Source organism: Homo sapiens, chromosome 7 (assembly GCF_000001405.40).
Source record: "Homo sapiens chromosome 7, GRCh38.p14 Primary Assembly".
Lineage (NCBI taxonomy): Eukaryota > Metazoa > Chordata > Mammalia > Primates > Hominidae > Homo > Homo sapiens.
In genome coordinates, this window is record NC_000007.14 from 69,374,039 (window position 1) to 69,395,247 (window position 21,209).

Sequence of the window (21,209 nt, forward strand, 5' to 3'; positions counted from 1 at the left end):
GCTATGGGAGGTTGTACTAAAAATGTGCAAAATGGGTTTTTTGGATAGAAACTTCGTTCATCATCTCAAGAAGGGGCAGAGTCTCTGAGAAAATAATTGAAGATTTATGTCACATACTCCAGAAATCTGTATCCAAAACATCGGAGCGGCCAAATTCCAGAGAGCTGTCAAGAATTCCTAAGGATATGCTAAGTGAAATAAACCAGACACAAAAGGCCAGGATTGTATAATTCTGCATGCAGAGCCCAGGATAGCGGGGAACATAGGGAGCAAATGTTTACTGCATACAGAGTTTCTGTTTGGGACGATGAAAAAGAACTGGAAATGGATAATGGTAACAGTTGCACAACATTGCACATGTATTAAATGCACTTAAAATGCTTAAAATAGCAAATCTGTATGTATACTTTACCACAATGAATAACTAAATAAGAATTCGCGAGGTATTTTCTGAGAACTCATTGCTTATTAAAAAGAGGGCCGAGTGCAGTGGCTTACACCTGTAATCGCAGCACTTTGGGAGGCTGAGGCAGGAGGCTTACTTGAGCCCAGGAGTTCGAGCCCACTCTGGGCAACAAAGCAAGACTCCCGTTTCTACAAAAAAAATTAAAAATTAGCTAGGCATGATGGCACACATCTGCAGTCCCAACTACACCAGAGGCTGAGGTGAGAGAATCGCTTGAGCTTGGGAAGTCGAGACTGCAGTGAGCCATGTTCACACCACTGCACTCCAGTCTGGATGACAGAGCAAGACCCTGTCTCCAAAAAAAAAAAAAAAAAAAAAAAAAGAGAGACCAGGTGCAGGGCTCACACCTGTAATCCCAACACTTTGGGAAGACAAGGCAGGCGCGCAACCTTGAGGCCAGGAGTTCAAGACTAGCCTGGGCAATATAGCAAGACCTCATCTCTACAAAAAAATTAATTAGGGAATTAGGGATGCTGGCATGTATCTGTACTCCCAGATACTCAGGAGGCTGAGGCAGGATTGCTTGAGCCCAGGAGTTAGAGGCTGCAGTGAGCTATGATCGTGCCACTGCACTCTCAGCCTGGGTAAGAGCAAGATCCTGTCTTTAAAAAATAAAAAAAAAACCCAAATTTTCTTAATCCAGTCTATCGTTGTTGGACATTTGGGTTGGTGCCAAGTCTTTGCTATTGTGAATAGTGCCGCAATAAACATATGTGTGCATGTGTCTTTATAGCGGCATGATTTATAATCCTTTGGGTATATACCCAGTAATGGGATGGCTGGGTCAAATGGTATTTCTAGCTCTAGATCCCTGAAGAATTGCCACACTGACTTCCACAATGGTTGAACCAGTTTACAGTCCCACCAGCAGTGTAAAAGTGTTCCTATTTCTCCACATCCTCTCCAGCACCTGCTGTTTCCTGACTTTTTAATGATTGCCATTCTAACTGGTGTGAGATGGTATCTCATTTGGTTTTGATTTGCATTTCTCTGATGGCCAGTGATGACGAGCATTTTTTCATGTGTTTTTTGGCTGCATAAATGTCTTCTTTTGAGAAGTGTCTGTTCATATCCTTCGCCTACTTTTCGATGGGGTTGTTTGTTTTTTTCTTGTAAATTTGTTTGAGTTCATTGTAGATTCTGGATATTAGCCCTTTGTCAGATAAGTAGGTTGCAAAAATTTTCTCCCATTCTGTAGGTTTCCTGTTCACTCTGATGGTAGTTTCTTTTGCTGTGCAGAAGCTCTTTAGTTTAATTAGATCCCATTTGTCAATTTTGGCTTTTGTTGCCATTGCTTCTGGTGTTTTAGACATGAAGTCCTTGCCCATGCCTATGTCCTGAATGGTACTGCCTAGGTTTTCTTCTAGGGTTTTTATGGTTTTAGGTCTAACATGTAAGTCTTTAATCCATCTTGAATTAATTTTTGTATAAGGTGTAAGGAAGGGATCCAGTTTCAGCTTTCTACCTATGGCTAGCCAGTTTTCCCAGCACCATTTATTAAATAAGGAGTCCTTTCCCCATTGCTTGTTTTTGTCAGGTTTGTCAAAGATCAGATAGTTGTAGATATGTGGCATTATTTCTGAGGGCTCTGTTCTTTTCCATTGGTCTATATCTCTGTTTTGGGCACATATACACCATGGAATACTATGCAGCCATAAAAAATGATGAGTTCATGCCCTTTGTAGGGACATGGATGAAGCTGGAAACCATCATTCTCAGCAAACTATCGCAAGGACAAAAAACCAAACACTGCATGTTCTCACTCATAGGTGGGAATTGAACAATGAGATCACATGAACACAGGAAGAGGAACATCACACACCAGGGACTGTTGTGGGGTGGGGGGAGCGGGGAGGGATAGCATTAGGAGATATACCTAATGCTAAATGACAAGTTAATGGGTGCAGCACACCAACATGACACATGTATACATATGTAACAAACCTGCACGTTGTGCACATGTACCCTAAAACTTAAAGTATAATAATAATAAAAATTAAAAAAAAAAACCCACACGGGTCATCCTGTCTGGATCTAGTTACTGTACTTGTAAACCAGAAATATACCTTTTGCTCATGGGGAAAAACCATGGGGTAAAGAAAGCAGATTGTTTCAAACTTAAAAAACAAAAAAAGCAGTCAGGAATTCTACCAGCATTAAAACTCCAGTGATTCTTAGTGTCATCTAACATTCCCATTGATCATCGAAATCTTACTGAAATTTTCCTCGCTCCCAAGCAAAATCCGTCTCCTCACTGATTGCCTGAGCTGATTCAGCAGATCAGATTGGCTGGGTGAGACCCTATCTTCGTGTGCAAGCTCCAAACACCCTGCATATAGTGGAGGAGGGTGTCATTCAATTCTATTTTCCACTTAAGATATATAAGCAAAAGTTTCCTTTCATGGAGTCTGCAAACAAGCTCTCCACAAACTCTTCTCCATAAATCTCAGCAGTTTTATATTCTTCTGAGACTCCTACATCTTTCTGCATCTCTTTAGCTCATTGTTAGAATAGATGTTCTCCAAATATCCATTTACTAGCTTCTTTTGTCTCTCTGTATTCTTTCCTGGAAAGCCCATGCTCCCCCTTAGCTGCAGTAAGCCACATCTTTCTCACTATGATTCTGATTTTTTTTCTTTCCAGCCTGAAACCCACATTTCTGACTGCTCACAAGCGCTTCAAGCTCTGCATGATCGAACATATATTTCTTCCTCAATCGGATCTTGTGCTGGGCACTTCTGTAGAAGTGCCTTTTGTAAAAGGCACCAAGATGTATCTTCTCAGTAGCCCAAGCTTAGGAGCTCCTGCACTCCTGTGATATCCCTCCAAGTCCTTCCCCTGCCCTCTGGTTTTCCTTCCCTCCATCCATCTGGCACGTATCTGATTAGATCACTCCCTGGCCCATGTGAAGTGTCGAGAACCAGGGTAATAATTGTTCAGCCTTTGCAAACATTAGAATATCGTAGTTCCAAGAACCTCAAATCATCACAAATCAGAGGTTAGGGAAAGCTCCAGTATGGGAAGCTGGAACTTGCCTGGAATTCAATAAGGGGCATCTGGAAGCTGGAAATATCTCACCTTTTTTTTTTTTTTTTTCTAGAGACAAGGTCTTACTCTGTCACCCAAGCTGGAGTGCAGTGGCACGATCACAGCTCACTACAGGCTCAAATTCCTGGGCTCAAGCAATCCTCCTACCTCAGCCTCCCGAGTAGCTGGGACTAGAGATGTGTGCCACCACACTCAGCCAATTTTTATTTTTTTGTAGAGATGGGGTCTCACTATGTTGTTCAAACTGGTCCCTAACTACTGGACTCAAGCCATCCTCCTGCCTCAGCCTCCCAAAATGCTGGGGTTACAGCTGTGAGCCACCTCACCCAGCCTCTGAAATGCCAAACCTAAAGACACCATTCCAGTGCTTAGGGAGCAGTGGCGATTACAATACATCCTCCCAGCATTGTAAGATGGAGGTCAGCACCAGCATCAGAAAAAGTGGAAGGAGTTGGAGCCTTGGTAGATAGGATGGGGGCAGCTATTCAGGCTCTCCTCATGTACTGAGCATCATTTATGTGCCAAGCATTATGCTAGGGAGCTAGAGACAGAAAACCAAGTCCCAGCCCTTCAAGGAATTCCCATTCCAAGGAAGAAACATAAAGTTGCAATACAGGGGCCATGAGCAGTGGCTTACACCTGCAATCCCAGCTACTCAGGAGGCAGAAGTGGATGTATCACTTGAGTTCAGAAGTTCAAGACCCCCAGCACTTTGGGAGGCTGAGGCAGGTGGATCACTTGAGGTCAGGAGTTCAAGACCAGCCTGGCCAACATGGTGAAACCCTGTAACTACTAAAAATACAAAAATTAGCTGGGCGTGGTGGTGTGTGCCTGTAATCCCAGCTACTTGAGAGGCTGAGGCACGAGAATCACTTGAACTTGGGAGGCAGAAGTTGCAGTGAGCCGAGATCCCGCCACTGCACTCCAGCCTGGGCAACAGTGGCTCTGTCTTAAAAAAATAATTTTTTTTAAAAAAGAAGTTCAAGGCCATCCTGGGCAACATAGAGAGACCCCATCTCTACAAAAAATAAATAAAATTAGCCATGCTTGGTTGCATGCACCTGTAGTCCCAGCTACTCAGGAAACTGAGGCAGGAGTATCACTTGAGCCCAGGAGATTGAGGCTGCAGTGAGCTGTGAAAGCACCACCACACTCCAGCCTGGGTGACATAGTGAGACACCCCTGTCTCTCAAAAAGAAAAGTACAATATAGGATGATCTTGCTTCACTAGAAATAAACACAGGACACCAAAGAGCAGACAGCAGAGGCCCCAACACTGGGAACTTGGGAGGGGTGGTAGAGACTGTGGATGACTTCACAGAGGCTGCCACCTCCAAGGTTTGAGCTGGGATTGAAAGGATAAGGGAAGAGCCTTCCAGGAAGAGGAACCACACGGGCCAAGTGGTGACGGGAGCATGGGATCTTAGCAAGTATCTGGTGTGACAGCGTGGTCATGAAGGGGAGTAGCAGGAAATGAAGCTAGAGAGGTACTGGGAGCCAGGACCACACAAAACTTTGTATAGCAAGCTAACCCAGACCCTTAACCTTCACCTGTGATCTCTCGAGCAAGGATTATAAATCATCAACAATTAACCTTTAGGATGGATGTCAATGTAGACACCATCAAGTCCAGTTCTCTCATTCCAAAGGCTGGGAAGGGAGTTACAGTGAGAGGAAGGCGTTCTCCCTGTACCTTCCAATAATCCTTGCATATTCCACTACATTATGGAATTAAAAACCCCCACACACAGAGTCTCCATGAAGAGCTAACCGTAGGCCAGGCATGGTGGCTCATGCCTGTAATCCCAGCACTTTGCAAGGCCATGGTGGAAAGATTGCTTAAAACCAAGAGTTTAAGACCAGCCTAGGCAACATAGTGAGTTCCCGTTCTAGAAAATTTAAAAAAACTAATCAATTGAGAATGATGGTGCATGCCTGTAGTCTCAGCTACTAGGGAGACTGAGGTGGGAGGATCGTTTGAGCCTAGGAGTTCAAGGCTGCAGTGGGCTACGATTGTGTCACTGCACCCCAACCTGGACACCAGAGAGATACCCTGTCTTAAAAAAAAAAAAAAAAAAGAGTTAACCATGCAAAATAGACTCGATGACAGGAGACGGGTGGGGAGGCTCCAAGGCATCTGCTCCAGGTACTGCTCTCGAAAGCAAGCCTTATGGAAGAAATTATCAATTGCAGAAAGAATAGATTGCCCAAAGGCTTAACGAGGAAAAATAAACACCTTTCAAAGACAAGCCTAGCACTATCTGTGAGCCATCCCCAGGCACAGGCACCCAATGCCAGAATGTGTTAACAGCACTTAATACTTTCATAGCCCTAGCCAGCCCGAAGATAAACAAGTAGCCTTAGTCATAATCAGAACAAATGGTCAAATACAGGCATATAACCTCTAAATTCAAAATTTTAAATGGTGGGCCAGGCTCCGTGGCTCACGCCCGTAATCCCAGCACTTTGGGAGGCCAAGGCAGGCGGATCGCTTGAGGTCAGGAGTTTAAGACCAGCCTGGCCAACATGGCAAAATCCCGTCTCCAATAAAAATGCAAAAATTAGCCAGGCATCGTGGCACGCGCCTGTAATCCCAACTACTCCGGAGGCTGAGGCACGAAAATCATTTGAATCCAGGAGGCGGAGGTTGCAGTGAGCCGAGATCACACCACTGCACTCCAGCCTGGGTGACAGAGCGAGACTCCACATAAAAAAAAAAAAAAAAAAAAAAAAAAAATATATATATATATATATATATATATATATATATATATATATATAATGGTCACTTTACTCTTTTTATTGTTTGTATATTTATTTCTGCAGCAGTAAAAGGGATTCTTAGCACAGTATGAGGGCTAGAGGATACAAGAAGGTTGTACTAACTAGCTAGAGATGGTGGGGGTGTGATTAAGCACTAACTTCACTTGTTTGGGTTTTTTTGTTTGTTTTTCGTTGCTTTTTGTTTGTTTGTTTTTAAGAGACAGGGTCTCACTCTGTTGCCCAGGCTGCAATGCACTGGTGCAATCATAGCTCACTGCAGCCTCCAATTTCTGGATTCAGGTAATCCTCTTGCCTCAGCCTCCCAGGTAGCTGGGATTACAGGTGAATGCCAACATGCCTGGTTAATTTTTTTTTAATTTTTTTAGTGATGACAACTCCCTGTGTTGCCCAAGCTGGACTCCTGGGCTTAAGTGATCCTCCCACCTCAGCCTCCCAAAGTGCTGGGATTACAGGCATGAGCCACCACTCCTGACTTAACCACTAACTTTGGATCTAGATGTAGAGAGATTCAAATCACAGCTCTTTCACTTAGAAAGTGTGACTTTGAGCTGATTTCTTACCTTTTTTTTTTTTTTTTTTTTTTTTGAGACAGTCTTGCTCTGTCACCCAGGCTGGAGTGCAGTGGCACAATCCTGGCTCACTGCAACTTCTGTCTCCCGGGTTCTAGCAATTCTCCTTCCTCAGCCTCCCAAGTAGCTGGGACTACAGGCATATGCCACCATGCCCAGCTAATTTTTATATTTTTAGTAAAAACGGGGTTTCACCATGTTGGCCAGACTGGTCTCGAACTCCTGACCTCAAGTGATCTGCCCTCCTCAGCCTCCCAAAGTGCTGGGATTACAGGCGTGAGCTACCATGCCTGGCCTGATTTCTTACCTCTATAAGTTTCCCTGAATTGCCCAGCACACTACCAGGCACTCAGGGTGTTTGTAGGCTCCCTAACCATGAGTCATACCTCTGTGGGAAAGTGATTGCAAAAATAGCCACAATGACTCACATTTCTGAATCTAGGTGCCTTTCCACACCTGCTCTGGGCTTGCCAGGTGACTTGTTTTGACAAATAGCACATGGCAAATGTGACACAAGCAGACCCCCACAGAGGGCTTCTGTATTGAAGTTTTTCCCTCTTTGGTTATTCTTGTGAATCCTCCACCATAGGAATGAGCCTGGGCTAGCCTGTTGGATGATGAGAGACACATGGCCAAGTCATCTTACTGCCCCCTAGCTGACATGGAGCCAACCCCAGACATGTGAGAGTGGTCATCCTAGGTCATTCGACCTCAGCTGAGCCAGCTGGGCCACTCTAAGAACCACCCAGCCAAACCACAGAATCATAATGGTATGGTTTGGCTCTGTGTCCCCACCTAAATCTCATCTTGAATTGTAATATCCACATATTGAGGGAGGGACCTGGTGGGAGGTGATTGGATCATGGGGGCAGATGTCCCCCCTTGCTGTTCTCTTGATAGCGAGTGAGTTTTCACAAGATCTGATGGTTAAAAGTGGCAGCTTCCCCTACACTCTCTCTCTCTCTTCTGTCATTATGTAAGACATGCCTTGCTTCCCCTTCACTTTCCACCATGGTTGTAGGTTTCCTGAGACTCCCCAGCCATGCAGAATTGTGAGTCAATTAAACCTCTTTTCTTCATAAATTACCAAGTCTCCGTATCTTTATAGCAGTGTGAAAATGGACTAATACACATGAGAAATCACAAATGTTTGTTGTCTTAAGGCCCTACATTTGCAGTGGTTATGCAGGAAAAGCTAACAAAATTACTGCTTAGATGTTAGGAATTCCTGTTTTATGGCCTCAGGTCTCTCCTTATTCAACATGAGAGATCAATAGAGTAACATCCAAATGAGGACTCTGAAAGCTGTACGCCTCAGAGAGGTCTCTCTTAACTACTGGAAAATTTCATAATCTATCTTTTAGATACCTCGAGTCAGGGCCAACATGAAACTCATTATATTCCCCACAAAACCAAACAAAAATTTTTCTTCTTGGTGCTCTGTTCCCAATATGTGAAACAGGAGCATTCTTGTCAACTCTTTCCTCTTATTTACCCTCTTAACCAATCAGCCACCAGGTCCTGTCAATTTCACCTCTTAAACATTGATATGGTTTGGATTTGTGTACCCACCCAAATTTCATGTTGAATTGTCATCTCCAATGTTGGAGGAGGGGACTGATAGGAGGTGATTGGATCATGGGGTGGATTTCCACCTTGCTCTTCTCATGATAGTGAATGAGTTCTCCGAAGATCTGATTGTTGGTATTTTTGTTGGATGAGGAGGGGTGTTTTGTTTTTTTTGTTTGTTTGTTTGTTTTGAGACAGAGACTCGCTCTGTCACCAAGGCTGGAGTGCAGTGGTGCAATCTCGACTCACTGCAACCTCCACCTCCTAGGTTCAAATGATTCTCCTGCCTCATCCTCCTAAGTAGCTGGGATTACAGACGTGCACCACCACACCTGACTAATTTTTGTATGTTTAATAGAGACAAGATTTCGCCATGTTGGCTAGACTGGTCTCGAACTCCTGACCTAAAGTGACCCACCCATCTCAGCCTCCCAAAGTGCTGGGATTACAGGTGTAAGCCACTGCGCATAGCAAGATCTGGTTGTTTGTAAGTGTGTAGTACCTCCCCTTTCACCCTGTTCCTCCTGCTCCAGCCATGTAAGATGTGCCTACTTCCCCTTTGCCTTCCTCCGTGATTGAAGGTTTCCTGAGGCCTCCCCAGCCATGCTTCCTGCACAGCCTGTGGAACCATGAGCCAATTCAACCTCATTTCGTTATAAATTACCCAGTCTTAGGTAGTTCTTTATAGCAATGTGAGAACTGACTAATATTGTAGTATTTCCTTCACTTCTCTGTGCTTCAGTTTCCTTAATTATAAAATGGGAATACTCAAACGTGAATGCCCCTTCCCCCTTATCCTCATTATTTCTACCCCATGGAAGTATCTTATTCTGTCCAATCAACACTATTGCAACAGCCCCTCAGCAATCTCCTGCCTTCAGAATGTTCCCCCTACAATGCAGCTTTCCCCTGAGCCAGCTACTTCCCTGTGAAAACGCTTCAGCACATCCTGTTGTCTATGGGATAATGACCAAATGCCTTAATAGATCACATAAATAGATCTTAATAGATCACCCCTTCCTGATACAGTTTGGATGTATGTCCCTCCCCCCGCCACAAACCTCATATTGAAATGTAATCCCCAATGTTGAAAGTGGGGCCTGGTAGGAGGTGACTGGGTTATGGGGGCGATTTCTCATGAATGGTCTAGCACCATCTGCCTTGGTTCTGTCCTCATGATAGTGAGGGCGTTCTCCTGAGATCTGGTCATTTAAAAGTGTGTAATGCCTCCCACTTCAGGCTCTTGCTCCTGCTCTGGCCATGAGATGAGCCTACTCCCCCATTGGCTTCCGCCATGATTGTAAGTTTCCTGAGGCCTCCCCAGAAGCTGAGCAGATGCCAGCATCATGCTTCCTGTACACCTGCAGAAACATGAGGCAATAAAATTTCTTTTCTTTATAAATCACCCAGTCTCAAGTATTTCTTTATAGCAATGTGAGAATAGACCCATACGATTCCCAAGCCAGCCTCCTCTCCACTGCCATTTCCATTTCTATCATGTTCCATATCTCACTGAGAGTTCCCCCATCATGCCAGGCTGCTTCATGCCCCAGGGCCTTTGCACATGTGATTTCACAGACACAGAATGTCTGTCTCCTTTGTTCCCTTTTTGAGTTTCTATTCACCATAAAGCTCAACTCAGAAGTCACATTCTGGCCGGGCACGGTGGTGCATGCCCACAATCCCAGCACTTCGGTAGGCTGAGGCAGGATAATTGCTTGAGTCTAGGAGTTCAAGGCTGCAGCGAGCTATGATCATGCCACTGCACTCCAGCCTGGGTGACAGAGCAAGACCCTGTCTCTTTAAAAAAAATCCATAAAGGGCAAAAATTGATGAAACTTTATGCACCCTGTGTGAAAGAAAAAGAAGTTCCATCCTTATATAAAGCACCCTCCCAACTCTACCCCAGAAGTTAATCCCTTCCCCCACAAAATCACTGTGCTTTGCACATTCCTTGAATTTTGCAGTTATCACACTATATTACAGTGGCCTGTTAATACTTCTGTCTCCCCCACCTTCCCAAAACCTTCCTACAAGCTTCCTTATTGCAGAATCTGCAACAGTAATGAGTATATAATAAGCATTCAAAACAAAAATTTGTCTAAAGTGAATGAAATCTTAGCATCTTCCCTTTTTCCTTACAATAAGGAAGCTTTGTGGATCTGTCATTAGTGACTTCTTAATGCAAATAAGCTCATTTTACAGAGTTTTGAACAAAATTGTGAATGCAGAATGTATAAAGTCTTTAGAGTTGAGATTTCTGTTTGAGATGCATCCTTTTCGATATTCGTACCCCCTGGTGAATTGTGTTAGTCTAGTTCTATAAAGCAATGTACATCTTCGACCCTCAGGAAGGAGTTCTAAGAATAAGGAATTTGATAACTCCCACAGAAAATTTTACATTCTGATAAATGTTCTGATAAAATAAAGGAATAGGAGATATGAAGACAAGCAGCAGATTCCAAGTTCGGAAGAGATTGTAACACTGTGGATGCACCACATAAAATCTCCTAAATCCCTTTCTGAGTGGGTTGATGTATTGGCAAGAGCACAAGTATCAGAGATGAGAGGACTGAAGTCAAGTCTTTGCTACTATGTAGCTCTGTGACCACTAGAAACTCTCATAACTTCAGCACTATCCACAACAGCAAAGACATGGAATCAACCCAAATGCCCATCAATGATAGACTAGATAAAGAAAATGTGGTACATATACACCATGTACTATGGAATATGGAATATGTACTATGTATTATGGAATACAGAATACTATGCAGCCATAAAAAGGTGTAAGAGCATGTCCTTTTCAGGGACATGGATGGAGCTGGAAGCCATTATCCTCAGCAAATGAATGCAGGAATGAAAAATCCAATACCACATGTTCTCCCTTATAAGTGGGAGCTAAATGATGAGAACACATGGACACATGAGGGGGAACAACACACACTGTGGCCTGTTGAGAGGGGGCAGGGGGAGGGAGAGCATCAAGAAGAATAGCTAATGGATGCGGGGCTTAATATCTAGGTGATGTGCTGGTCTGTGCAGCCAACCATCATGGCACCCGTTTACCTATGTAACAAACCTGCACATCCTGCACATGTACCCTGGAACTTAAAATAAAAGTTGAAGAAAATAATAATAATAATAAAGTATACAGGATTCCTGAAAAAAAAAAAAAGAATGAAAGTCTCATAACTTCTCTTTCCTCCTCTTTAAAATGAAAGTGTTGGATCAAATTATTTCGAAGTCCTATTAAATTCCTATGGGTCTGACACTTTGACAATGATTCCTAAATCTGCCTAGGCATCAGCATCAGGTGGGAAGCTTTATAAATCCACAGCTTCCCAGTCTCCTTCTCGAAGGTTATGATTGCACTGATTTGAAGAGAAGTCTGGGAATCTCATAGTTTTAGAAAGCCCCAAAGGGTGATTCTAATGCAAAGCCCGGTTTGGAAGCTTAGCCACCATATAAAAACTTTGCTGACTTTTTTCAGCTCCATCTACCACCTACAGAAGAATGTTGTCCAGTGGGAATATATCTCTGATTTCATAATAATGGCTAAAAGGAAACATAGGATTCACTTTACATGAAGTCTCCTTAGGGGCACTTTACTGGAACGTATCTATTGCTCAAATATGGAAAGTACCTCTATGGACTTGTATTTCGATACCTGTATGATCACCATTTTAAGCATGTGATGTGGTATCATCGTCAGCAAAATGTTTTTCTTTTAAACCCATCTTAGTTTTTTCATGAAAATCAGTGCAAAAACAATTATTTCACTAGACATTTACAGCCACCACCCAGGAATGTGTCTACATTGTAAAGAAAGATATATATTTGTAGCATAAACAAATAGCAGGATTAAAACATATTATCTATACTTAGATGGTACACTGTATAGATGATAGATAACATATCGTCTATACAGCGCACCTTGAGGAAGTCTGTAGCAGACACCATACCTGCCTAACCAACTTCACCATCTTCTTTAGGGCCTACTCATTCCAGTCAATGCATCATGGTGGGTCTAAGTTAATTTTGAAAATTCTATTTCCCCATACAAGATACTAACTGTCGTTTTTAAGAGACAGGGTCTCATTCTGTCTTCCAGGCTGGTGTGCAGTGGTGCGATCATAGCTCACTACGGCCTTGACCTCCTGGGCTCAATCAATCCTCCCGCCTCAGCCTCCCAAGGAGGTGCAACCACAGGTGTGCACCACCACGCTGGGCTAATTTTTCTTTATTTTTTGTAAAGATGGGGTCTCACTATGTTGCCAAGGCTGGTCTCGAACTCCTGGTCTCAAGCGATTCTCCCACCTTAGCATCCCAAAGTGCTGGAACAAGATCCTAATTCTGCAGCCCCTCTTGCAGCTGGGGACAACCATGTGATCTGTCTACAGACAATGAGACTCAAGAACCAGTCTGTTAGTGCACTCCTGGGAAATAACTTTTCCCACCTTGATAAAAAGCAGATACTTTTTGTTACCCGCATCACTGCTTCCTTCCTTAAATGCAAAGGGCCAATAGTTGATGACCATGAGGCACTAAGCCAAAGGCCCACATCTCCATACCCAGAGATGGCAGAGTAGCAAATGAAGTCACAGCTCCACAGATTTTTTGTCATGTGAGACAATTAAGAATCTTTATCGGGCCAGGCATGGTGGCTCATGCCTGTAATCCCAGCACTTTGGGAAGCTGAGGCAGGAAGATCACTTGAGCCCATGAGTTTAAGACCAGCCTGGGCAACATAGCAAGATAACACTCTACAAAAAAAATATATAAATTAGCTTGGCATGAAAGCATGCACCTGTAATCCCAGCTATTGAGGAGGCTAAGGCAAGAGGATCACTTGAGCCCAGAAGTTGGAGGCTGCAGTGAGTTATGATCATGCCGCTGCGCTCCAACCTGGGTGACAGAGCAGGACCTTATCTCTTAAAATATAAATGAATATGTGAATATATATAGCCATGTTGCTACCATTAAAAATACATCTTAACTAAATCCATTTCTGGTCAGGGTTAAGTACCATCAGCAGGAAGCAACAGGCATATTTGGGGTCATTTCAAGAACTGCTTTTCAAGAACTGCTTGAAGGATGGGAAAAGGGTGGAAGGATGGGGCAAGATGGGGGCTGTATAGCATTTATGGATAATGCTTGAAAGTTACAGGAAGGAATAAAAATGGCTTTGAGTTTATCAACTGCCAAGATTCTCAAGTAGGAGAATCTTTACGATGAAAATGTGTAAGGATTTTTTTTCCAAAAATCTAAGTTAAAAAGTGTAGGAGTCACACATTCAAATATTTTTATTGCTCTTACTCGCTCACCATCTTTTGTTTTTGTTTTTGTTTTTTTGAGACGGAGTCTCACTCTGTTGCCCAGGCTGAAGTGCAGTGGTGCAATCTCAGCTCACTGCAACCTCTACCTCCCAGGTTCAAGTGATTTTCCTGCCTCAGCCTCCCAAGTAGCTGGGATTACAGGCAGGCGTCACCACATCCAGCTAATTCTTCGTATTTTTAGTAAAAACGGGATTTCACCATGTTGGCCAGGCTGGTCTTGAACTCCTGACCTTAGGTGATCCAACCGCCTTGGCCTCCCAAAGTGTTGGGATTACAGGCGTGAGCCCCCACACCTGTCCTCACTCCGCATCTTGAAGGCTCTGTTATCATGAGTTCTGCCCAATGATTCTACCTCAGGAGATGCTGCATTTCAAGACTTATGAACTTCTTCTGGCACCAAGGTGTGTTCTTGGCCCCTGGACCTCGGCCCTTCTGACTCCAGTGATGCTCTCTACAAGTCGAGTCCTCTGGGATCCTGGAAGCCATATTGGAATAAAACTCTCACGTCTGGAACCAGTTTCTGGAAAACATCAAGAAAGGCAACACACGCTCTATCTCCTGTCTCTCTCTCCCTCTCTCTCTCTCTCTAACACTTAAGGAAATTAAAAAGAACCCATCAGCACATTGGCACATCACACTCCACAAAGGAAAATATTTGAATTTTTTCCATCTATTTTCCTCTCTGGTTCTTTATGCATCTCGAGGAGAAAAAAGGTAGAGCTTACATTTTATGTCAACACAAAAGGCCTCCGTTTGTGTGCATTACTTATTAAAGTATTCAGTGATTCAATGTCAAGGTATGTATTATACATACTTTTTTTTTCTAGGCCATTATTAGCTTTCTTACAACACTATTATTCTTCAGCCCAGCTAATGCTTCTGTCAAAGATTTAGCAACAAGCATGGAAAATGTCAAACAGTAGGGAAGAAACCTAGCTGTTTCCACAACTACACAAAAAGCCATGTTGTCTTTTATGGAAAAGCCACATAATTCCGTGAAGAACGCCAGTGGATGTTTTATCAGGGGACAGAGTCATGGGACGGTGTATTTGTTTTCCTCTGCACACCTGAGTCCATCTCCTCTGAATAAGTTTCCTTTCTTCTCTTGCCAATACACTTAATAAAACAGGGCCTACGTCGTTATCATCTCACCCTCTCCCCAGGAGGTACCCAGCTTAGAATGCGACAGAAATCAGCCAAGAGAGTCAGTCTTGTTCTGTCTGCAGAGTAGTGTGATAAGATTTAAGGAGCACTAAAAGGTTCCTCTGGAGAAAAATATTTTCCCAACCTGCTTACCAGGGTGCCTGAAATTACAACCCTTCTGCTTTAAGGCATTGAAAGCCTCCATTAAAATGCAAATATGTTAGGTGAGTTGTTTTATCAAACTATCACATCTTAGCTTGAATTAGTTTATGGCTTAATCCAAAATCCTGAAGTGACAGGGACACAGGGCCGTTAAGTTTGGATGTGAGCAAAGATCATACAAAGATTTAGGGTTTAAAAATACATTGCCTAAGGTGCAGATCCAGGTAATAGAACAGAATAGAATAGTCTAACAGCACCAAGAATGAGGTCCAGAGTTCACATGCACAGACAGAGACGCTCCACCCTCCTGGCAGAGCAACAGGCGAGTCCATGTCATTGAGAAGTTGTCATTCTTACCTTTCAAAGATAAATTTTAAGGCCAGGCGCTGTGGCTCACACCTGTAATTCTAACAATTTGGGAAGCCAATCTGGGAGGATCATTTGGGGCCAGGAGTTTGAGACCAGCCTGGGCAACATAGCAAAACCTCATCTCTACAAAAAAAATTTTTTTCATTAGCAGAGCGTGGTGGCGTGCGTTTGTGGTCCCAGCTATTGGGAAGGCTGAGGTGGGGTAGGAGAATTGCTTGAGCCCAGGAGGTTGAGACTGCAGTGAGCTATGATGGCGCCACTGTACTCCAGCCTGGGTGACAGAGTGAGATCCTGTACCTTAAAAAAAAATAAAATAAAAAAAAAAAGATAAATTATAAGAAGCATCAGTGCACAAATGCCTTCTGTTCTTCCCACTTGAATCCACATCCTCAGTTGGGTTTATTTACCATTTCTTCCCTGCGTAAGCCTTCCATGGACTCTTCCCCACTCTCTCTCCAGCAGTTTCGGAGGCAGTATAGATCCTGTGGTCGACACGACCATCTTCTCTATATTTCCATTTCTCCTCTCCTTCCACTCCCTTGAAGTTAGTCATGGCCATTTCACTGGCTTTGGTCAATGAATTGTAAGCAAAAAAAATGACATGTGTCACTTCCAGGGAGAGGTATTTCAGAGCTGGTTTATGATTCCTCATGCTCTCTTCCTCTGCCATGGTGAACTCAGAAGCATGATGAACTTGAGATAAAAATGCTACAAGGGGCCGGGCGCGGTGGCTCATGCCTGTAATCCCAGCACTTTGAGAGGTCGAAGCAGATGGATCACCTGAGGCTGGGAGATCGAGACCAGCCTGGCCAACATGGTGAAACCCCATCTCTACTAAAAATACAAAAATTAGCCAGGCATGGTTGCGGGCACCTGTAATCCCAGCCACTCAGGAGGCTGAGGCAGGAGAATTGCTTGAACTCAGGAGGCGGAGGTTGCAGTGAGCTGAGATTGTGCCATTGCACTCCAGCCTGGGCAACAAGAGTGAAACTCTGTCTCAAAAACAAACAAACAAAAAATATTACAAGGTCAAAACAACCAACAAGAAAGGACCCAGAGAACATCTACTTGGAAAGCTGCTTAGATCTGCAGATGACTGAAACTGAACAGGAATGAACGTCTGCTGTGTCAGGCTATTGATGTCTTGGTGTTACTACTTTCGCATAACATCGCCTACCCTGGCTGATCCATTTCCCATAAATAGCACCTCAAGAAATCTCACCAGGCCCGCTCTACTACCATACACTCATCATTCAGCAAATATTCACCAAGCTCCTACTATGTGCCCGATAGTAGCATAGATCCCAGAATTTCGTGCTAACAGTAAAGATAAAGTCCTTGGAATCATGAAGGTTACAACCTAGTCAAGGAAGAAAGATTATAAATAAGTTTTTGTTTTGTTTTATTTTAAGACAGAGTCTCACTCTGTCGCCCAGGCTAGAATTCAGTGGCACAGTCCAGTGGCTCAGTGTAAGGACTGAGAGTAAACTGTGGGCTCAAATCCAAGCTCCTCCACCTTCCAGCTGTATCCCAGCACACAATACTTAACCTTTTTTGTGCCCCAATGTGTTCATCTGTAAAATTAGGACATTAATAAGACCAACCTTATAAGGCTATTGTGAAAATCAAATGAATTGGTAAAAGGGACGCTGAAGAGTACCTAGCACACAGTAAAACTCTCCTTATCCAATGTTGTTATTTATTTATTTATTTATTTATTTATTTATTTATTGAGACAGAGTTTCACTCTTATTGCCCAGGCTGGAGTGCAATGGCACAATCTCGGCTCACCGCAACCTCTGACTTGTGGGTTCAAGCAATTCTCCTGCCCCAGCCTCCCAAGTAGCTGGGATTACAGGCATGTGCCATCACGCCCAGCTAATTTTGTATTTTTAGTAGAGAAAGAGTTACTCCATGTTAGTCAGGCTGGTCTCAAACGCCCGACCTCAGGTCACCTGCCCGCCTTGGCCTCCCAAAGTGCTGGGATTACAGGCATAAGCCACCGCACCAGGCCCCAGTGTTGTTATTTTTGTTTGTTTGTTTTGAGACGCAGTCTCACACTGATGCTCAGGCTGGAGTGCAGTGGTGAAATCTCAGCTCACTGCAACCTCCACCTCCTGGGCTGAAGTGATTCTCTCACCTCAGCCTCCCAAGTAGCTGGGACCACAGGTATGCACCACCACACCTGGCTAATTTTTTGTGTCTTTAGTAGAGACAGGGTTTCACCATATTGCCCAGGCTGTTCTCGAACTCTGGAGCTCAAGCGATCTGCCCACCTCAGCCTCCCAAAGTGCTGGTATTACAGGCGTGAGCCACCACTCCTGGCCCCAATGTTGTTATTTTATTATCATCTTTCTGCATTACTCAGATTGAATCTCACTCCCTCCTCAAGTCTCCCACCTCATCCCAGCCTTCATTTATCTCCTTTTCCTAACTCATTTTATACTTGCTATTCATAACACATAATCCACATCTTACAACATGCTGCCCTGTTCTCTAATTGTTGGAATCACTCAATTTGGCACTTGGATCTATGGTAATTACTGTATGCTAATATGTAAAATCACACTTTGCCCTAATTCTTCATGTATGTGCCTTAGCTCTTCTCTCCAACTGTACTGACTTTCCCACAAATCAATCGTATACTTCTCTCACACCTTCACGATAGAGAGCGCAATGCTAAATACAAAATGGGGGTTTGCTACGTACAGATGCTCCTTGGCTTACAGTGAAGTTACACCCCAATACACCCATCATAAGTTGAAAATATCATGAGCCGAAATGCACTTAATACACCTAAGCTACCGAACATCATAGTTTAGCAGAGTCTTACCTTAAACGTGCAGCTGGGCATGGTGGCTCACGCCTGTAATCCCAGCACTTTGGGAGGCCGAGGCAGGTGGATCACCTGAGGTCAGGAGTTCGAGACCAGCCTAGCCAACATGGTGAAACTCCGTCTCCACTAAAAAATACAAAAATTAGCCAGGTGTGTTGGCGGGCACCAGTAATCCCAGCTACTTGGGAGGCTGAGGCAGGAGAATTGCTGGAACCCAGGAGGCAGAGGTTGCAATGAGCCAAGACTGCATTATTGCACTCCAGCCTGGGCGACAAGAGCAAAACTCCATCTCTAAAATAAAATAAAAACAACATGCTCAGAATACCTACATTAGCCTACAGCTGGGCAAAATCATTTAACATCATGCCTATTTTCTTTTCTCTTCTTTTCTTTTTGACACAGAGTCTCGCTCTGTTGCCCAGGCTGGAGTGCAGTGGCACAATCTCGGCTCACTATAACCTCTGCCTCCCAGGTTCAAGCAATTCTCCTGCCTCAGGCTCCTGAGTAGCTGGAATTACAGGCACACACCACCAGGCCTGGCTACTTTTTGTATTTTTTTTTTAGTAGAGATGGGGTTTCACCATGTTGCCCAGGCTGGTCTCGCAAACTCCTGGCCTCAGGTGGTCCACCTGCCTCGGCCTCCCAAAGTGCTGGGATTACAGGGATGAGCCACCGTGCCCGGCCTTACATCATGCCGATTTTCTAATAAAGTGTGGAATACTGTACACAGGCCTTTTGCAGACATGATGGGGGTCAAAAACACAAAGTACAATACGCAAAACAATGTGAGCAACACAGAACGCCGTATTGGTTGTTTAGTCTCATGATCACGTAGCAGATGGGGAGCTGTGGCTGGCTTCCACTGCCCAGCATTGCAAGACAGCAGCAAACCTGCAGATTACTAGCCCTGGAAAAGATCAAAATTCAAAAATCAGGCCAGGAACAGTGACTCACACCTATAATCCCAGCACTTTGGGAGGCTGAAGAGGATCGCTTGAGACTAGGAGTTCAAGACCAGTCTGAGCAATATAGTGAGTACCCTGTCCCTCCAAAAAAAAATTTAAAATTCTCTAGGCACAGTGGTGCACACCTGTAGTCCCAGCTACTGGGGAGGCTGAGGCAGGAAGATCACCTGAGCCCAGGAATTGAAGGCTGCAGTGAGCCTGTGATAGTGCCACTGCACTCCAGCCTGGGTGACAGAGCAAGACCCTGTGCTTTAAAAAACAAACAAACAAAAATCACAATCTGGAGTATGGTTTCTACTGAATGCATATTGTTTTTGCACCATCGTAAACTTGAAAAATTGTAAATCTTACCATCCTAATGAGAGGTGACAGCGTGCTGGCAGTCCTCACATCCCTCGCTCGCTCTCAGCGCCTCCTCTGCCTGGGCTCTTATTTTGGTGGCACTTGAGGAGCCCTTCAGCCCACCGCTGCACGGTGGGAGCCCCTTTCTGGGCTGGCCAAGGCCGGAGCCCACTCCCTCAGCTTGCGGGGAGGTGTGGAGGGAGAGGCGCGAGAGGGAACCGGGGCTGCGCGCGGCTCTTGCGGGCCAGCTGGAGTTCCGGGTGGGCGTGGGCTTGGCGGGCCGCACTCAGAGCAGCCGGCCGGCCCTGCTGGCCTCGGGCAATGAGGGGCTTAGCACCCGGGCCAGCGGCTGCGGAGGGTGTACTGGGTCCCCCAGCAGTGCTAGCCCACCGGCGCTGCGCTCAATTTCTCGCCAGGCCTTAGCTGCCTTCCCGCAGGGCAGGCCTCGGGACTGCAGCCTGCCATGCCTGAGCCTTACCCCGCCTCCATGGGCTCCTGCGCAGCCTGAGCCTCCCCGACGAGCGCCGCCCCCTGCTCCACGGCGTCCAGTCCCATCCACCAACCAAGGGCTGAGGAGTGCGACCGCATGGTGCGGGACTGGCAGGCAGCTCCACCTGCAGCCCCGGTGCGGGATCCACTCGGTGAAACCAGCTGGGCTCCCGCGTCTGGTGGGGCCTCGGAGAACCTTTATGTCTAGCTCAGGGATTGTAAACACACCAATCAGCACCCTGTGTTTAGCTCGGGGGTTTGTGAGTGCACCAATCGACACTCTATCTAGCTGCTCTGGTGGGACCTTGGAGAACCTTTGTGTGGATACTCTGTACCTAACTAATCTGATGGGGACGTGGAGAACCTTTGTATCTAGCTCAGGGATTGTAAAGGCACCAATCAGCGCCCTGTCAAAACAGACCACTCGGCTCTACCAATCAGCAGGATGTGGGTGGGGCCAGATAAGAGATTAAAAGCAGGCTGCCCCAGCCAGCAGTAGCAACCTGCTGGTGTCCTTTTCCACAGTGTGGGGACTTTGTTCTTTTGCTCTTTGCAATAAATCTTGCTACTGCTCAGTCTTTGGGTCCACACTGCTTTTATGAGCTGTAACACTCACTGCCAAGGTCTGCAGCTTCACTCCTGAAGCCAGCGACACCAGGAGCCCACCAGGAGGAACGAACAACTCCAGACGCGCTGCCTTAACAGCTGTAACATTCACCGCGAAGATCTGCAGCTTCACTCCTGAGCCAGCGAGACTACGAACCCACCAGAAGAAACTCCGAACACATCCGAACATCAGAAGAAACAAACTCCAGACGCGCCACCTTAAGAGCTGTAACACTCACCGCGAGAGTCCGCGGCTTTATTCTTGAAGTCAGTGAGACCAAGAACCCACCAATTCTGGACACACCAAGTTGACATTGCAAGTCAGAGACCCTCTGTACTTGGGTATTAAAACAGGGCCTTTTGTTTGGAGAACTCCAGAAATCCTCTGCTTTGGAAAACCAAGTGGAAGTGGGGGGGTGAATGTTTCAGACATGGAATTCACTTACATAAATCTCCAAGTAAGCCAAGCAATCTCTGGGCAGGGCCCATGCTATCCTGGGGAGAATACTGTCATGCATTTTT

At 45.0% G+C, this 21,209-nt stretch overlaps 1 long non-coding RNA gene across 1 annotated transcript; it reads right to left on the reverse strand.

The window, feature by feature from the left end:
• Positions 1 to 13,727: 13,727 nt before the first annotated feature.
• On the reverse strand, positions 13,728 to 20,073 carry LOC124901667 (uncharacterized). Its single transcript, XR_007060374.1, has 2 exons — positions 19,602 to 20,073; positions 13,728 to 14,295 (listed from the first exon to the last, which is right to left on the reverse strand). It is a non-coding gene; the product is annotated as an uncharacterized LOC124901667 (long non-coding RNA).
• Positions 20,074 to 21,209: the final 1,136 nt, after the last annotated feature.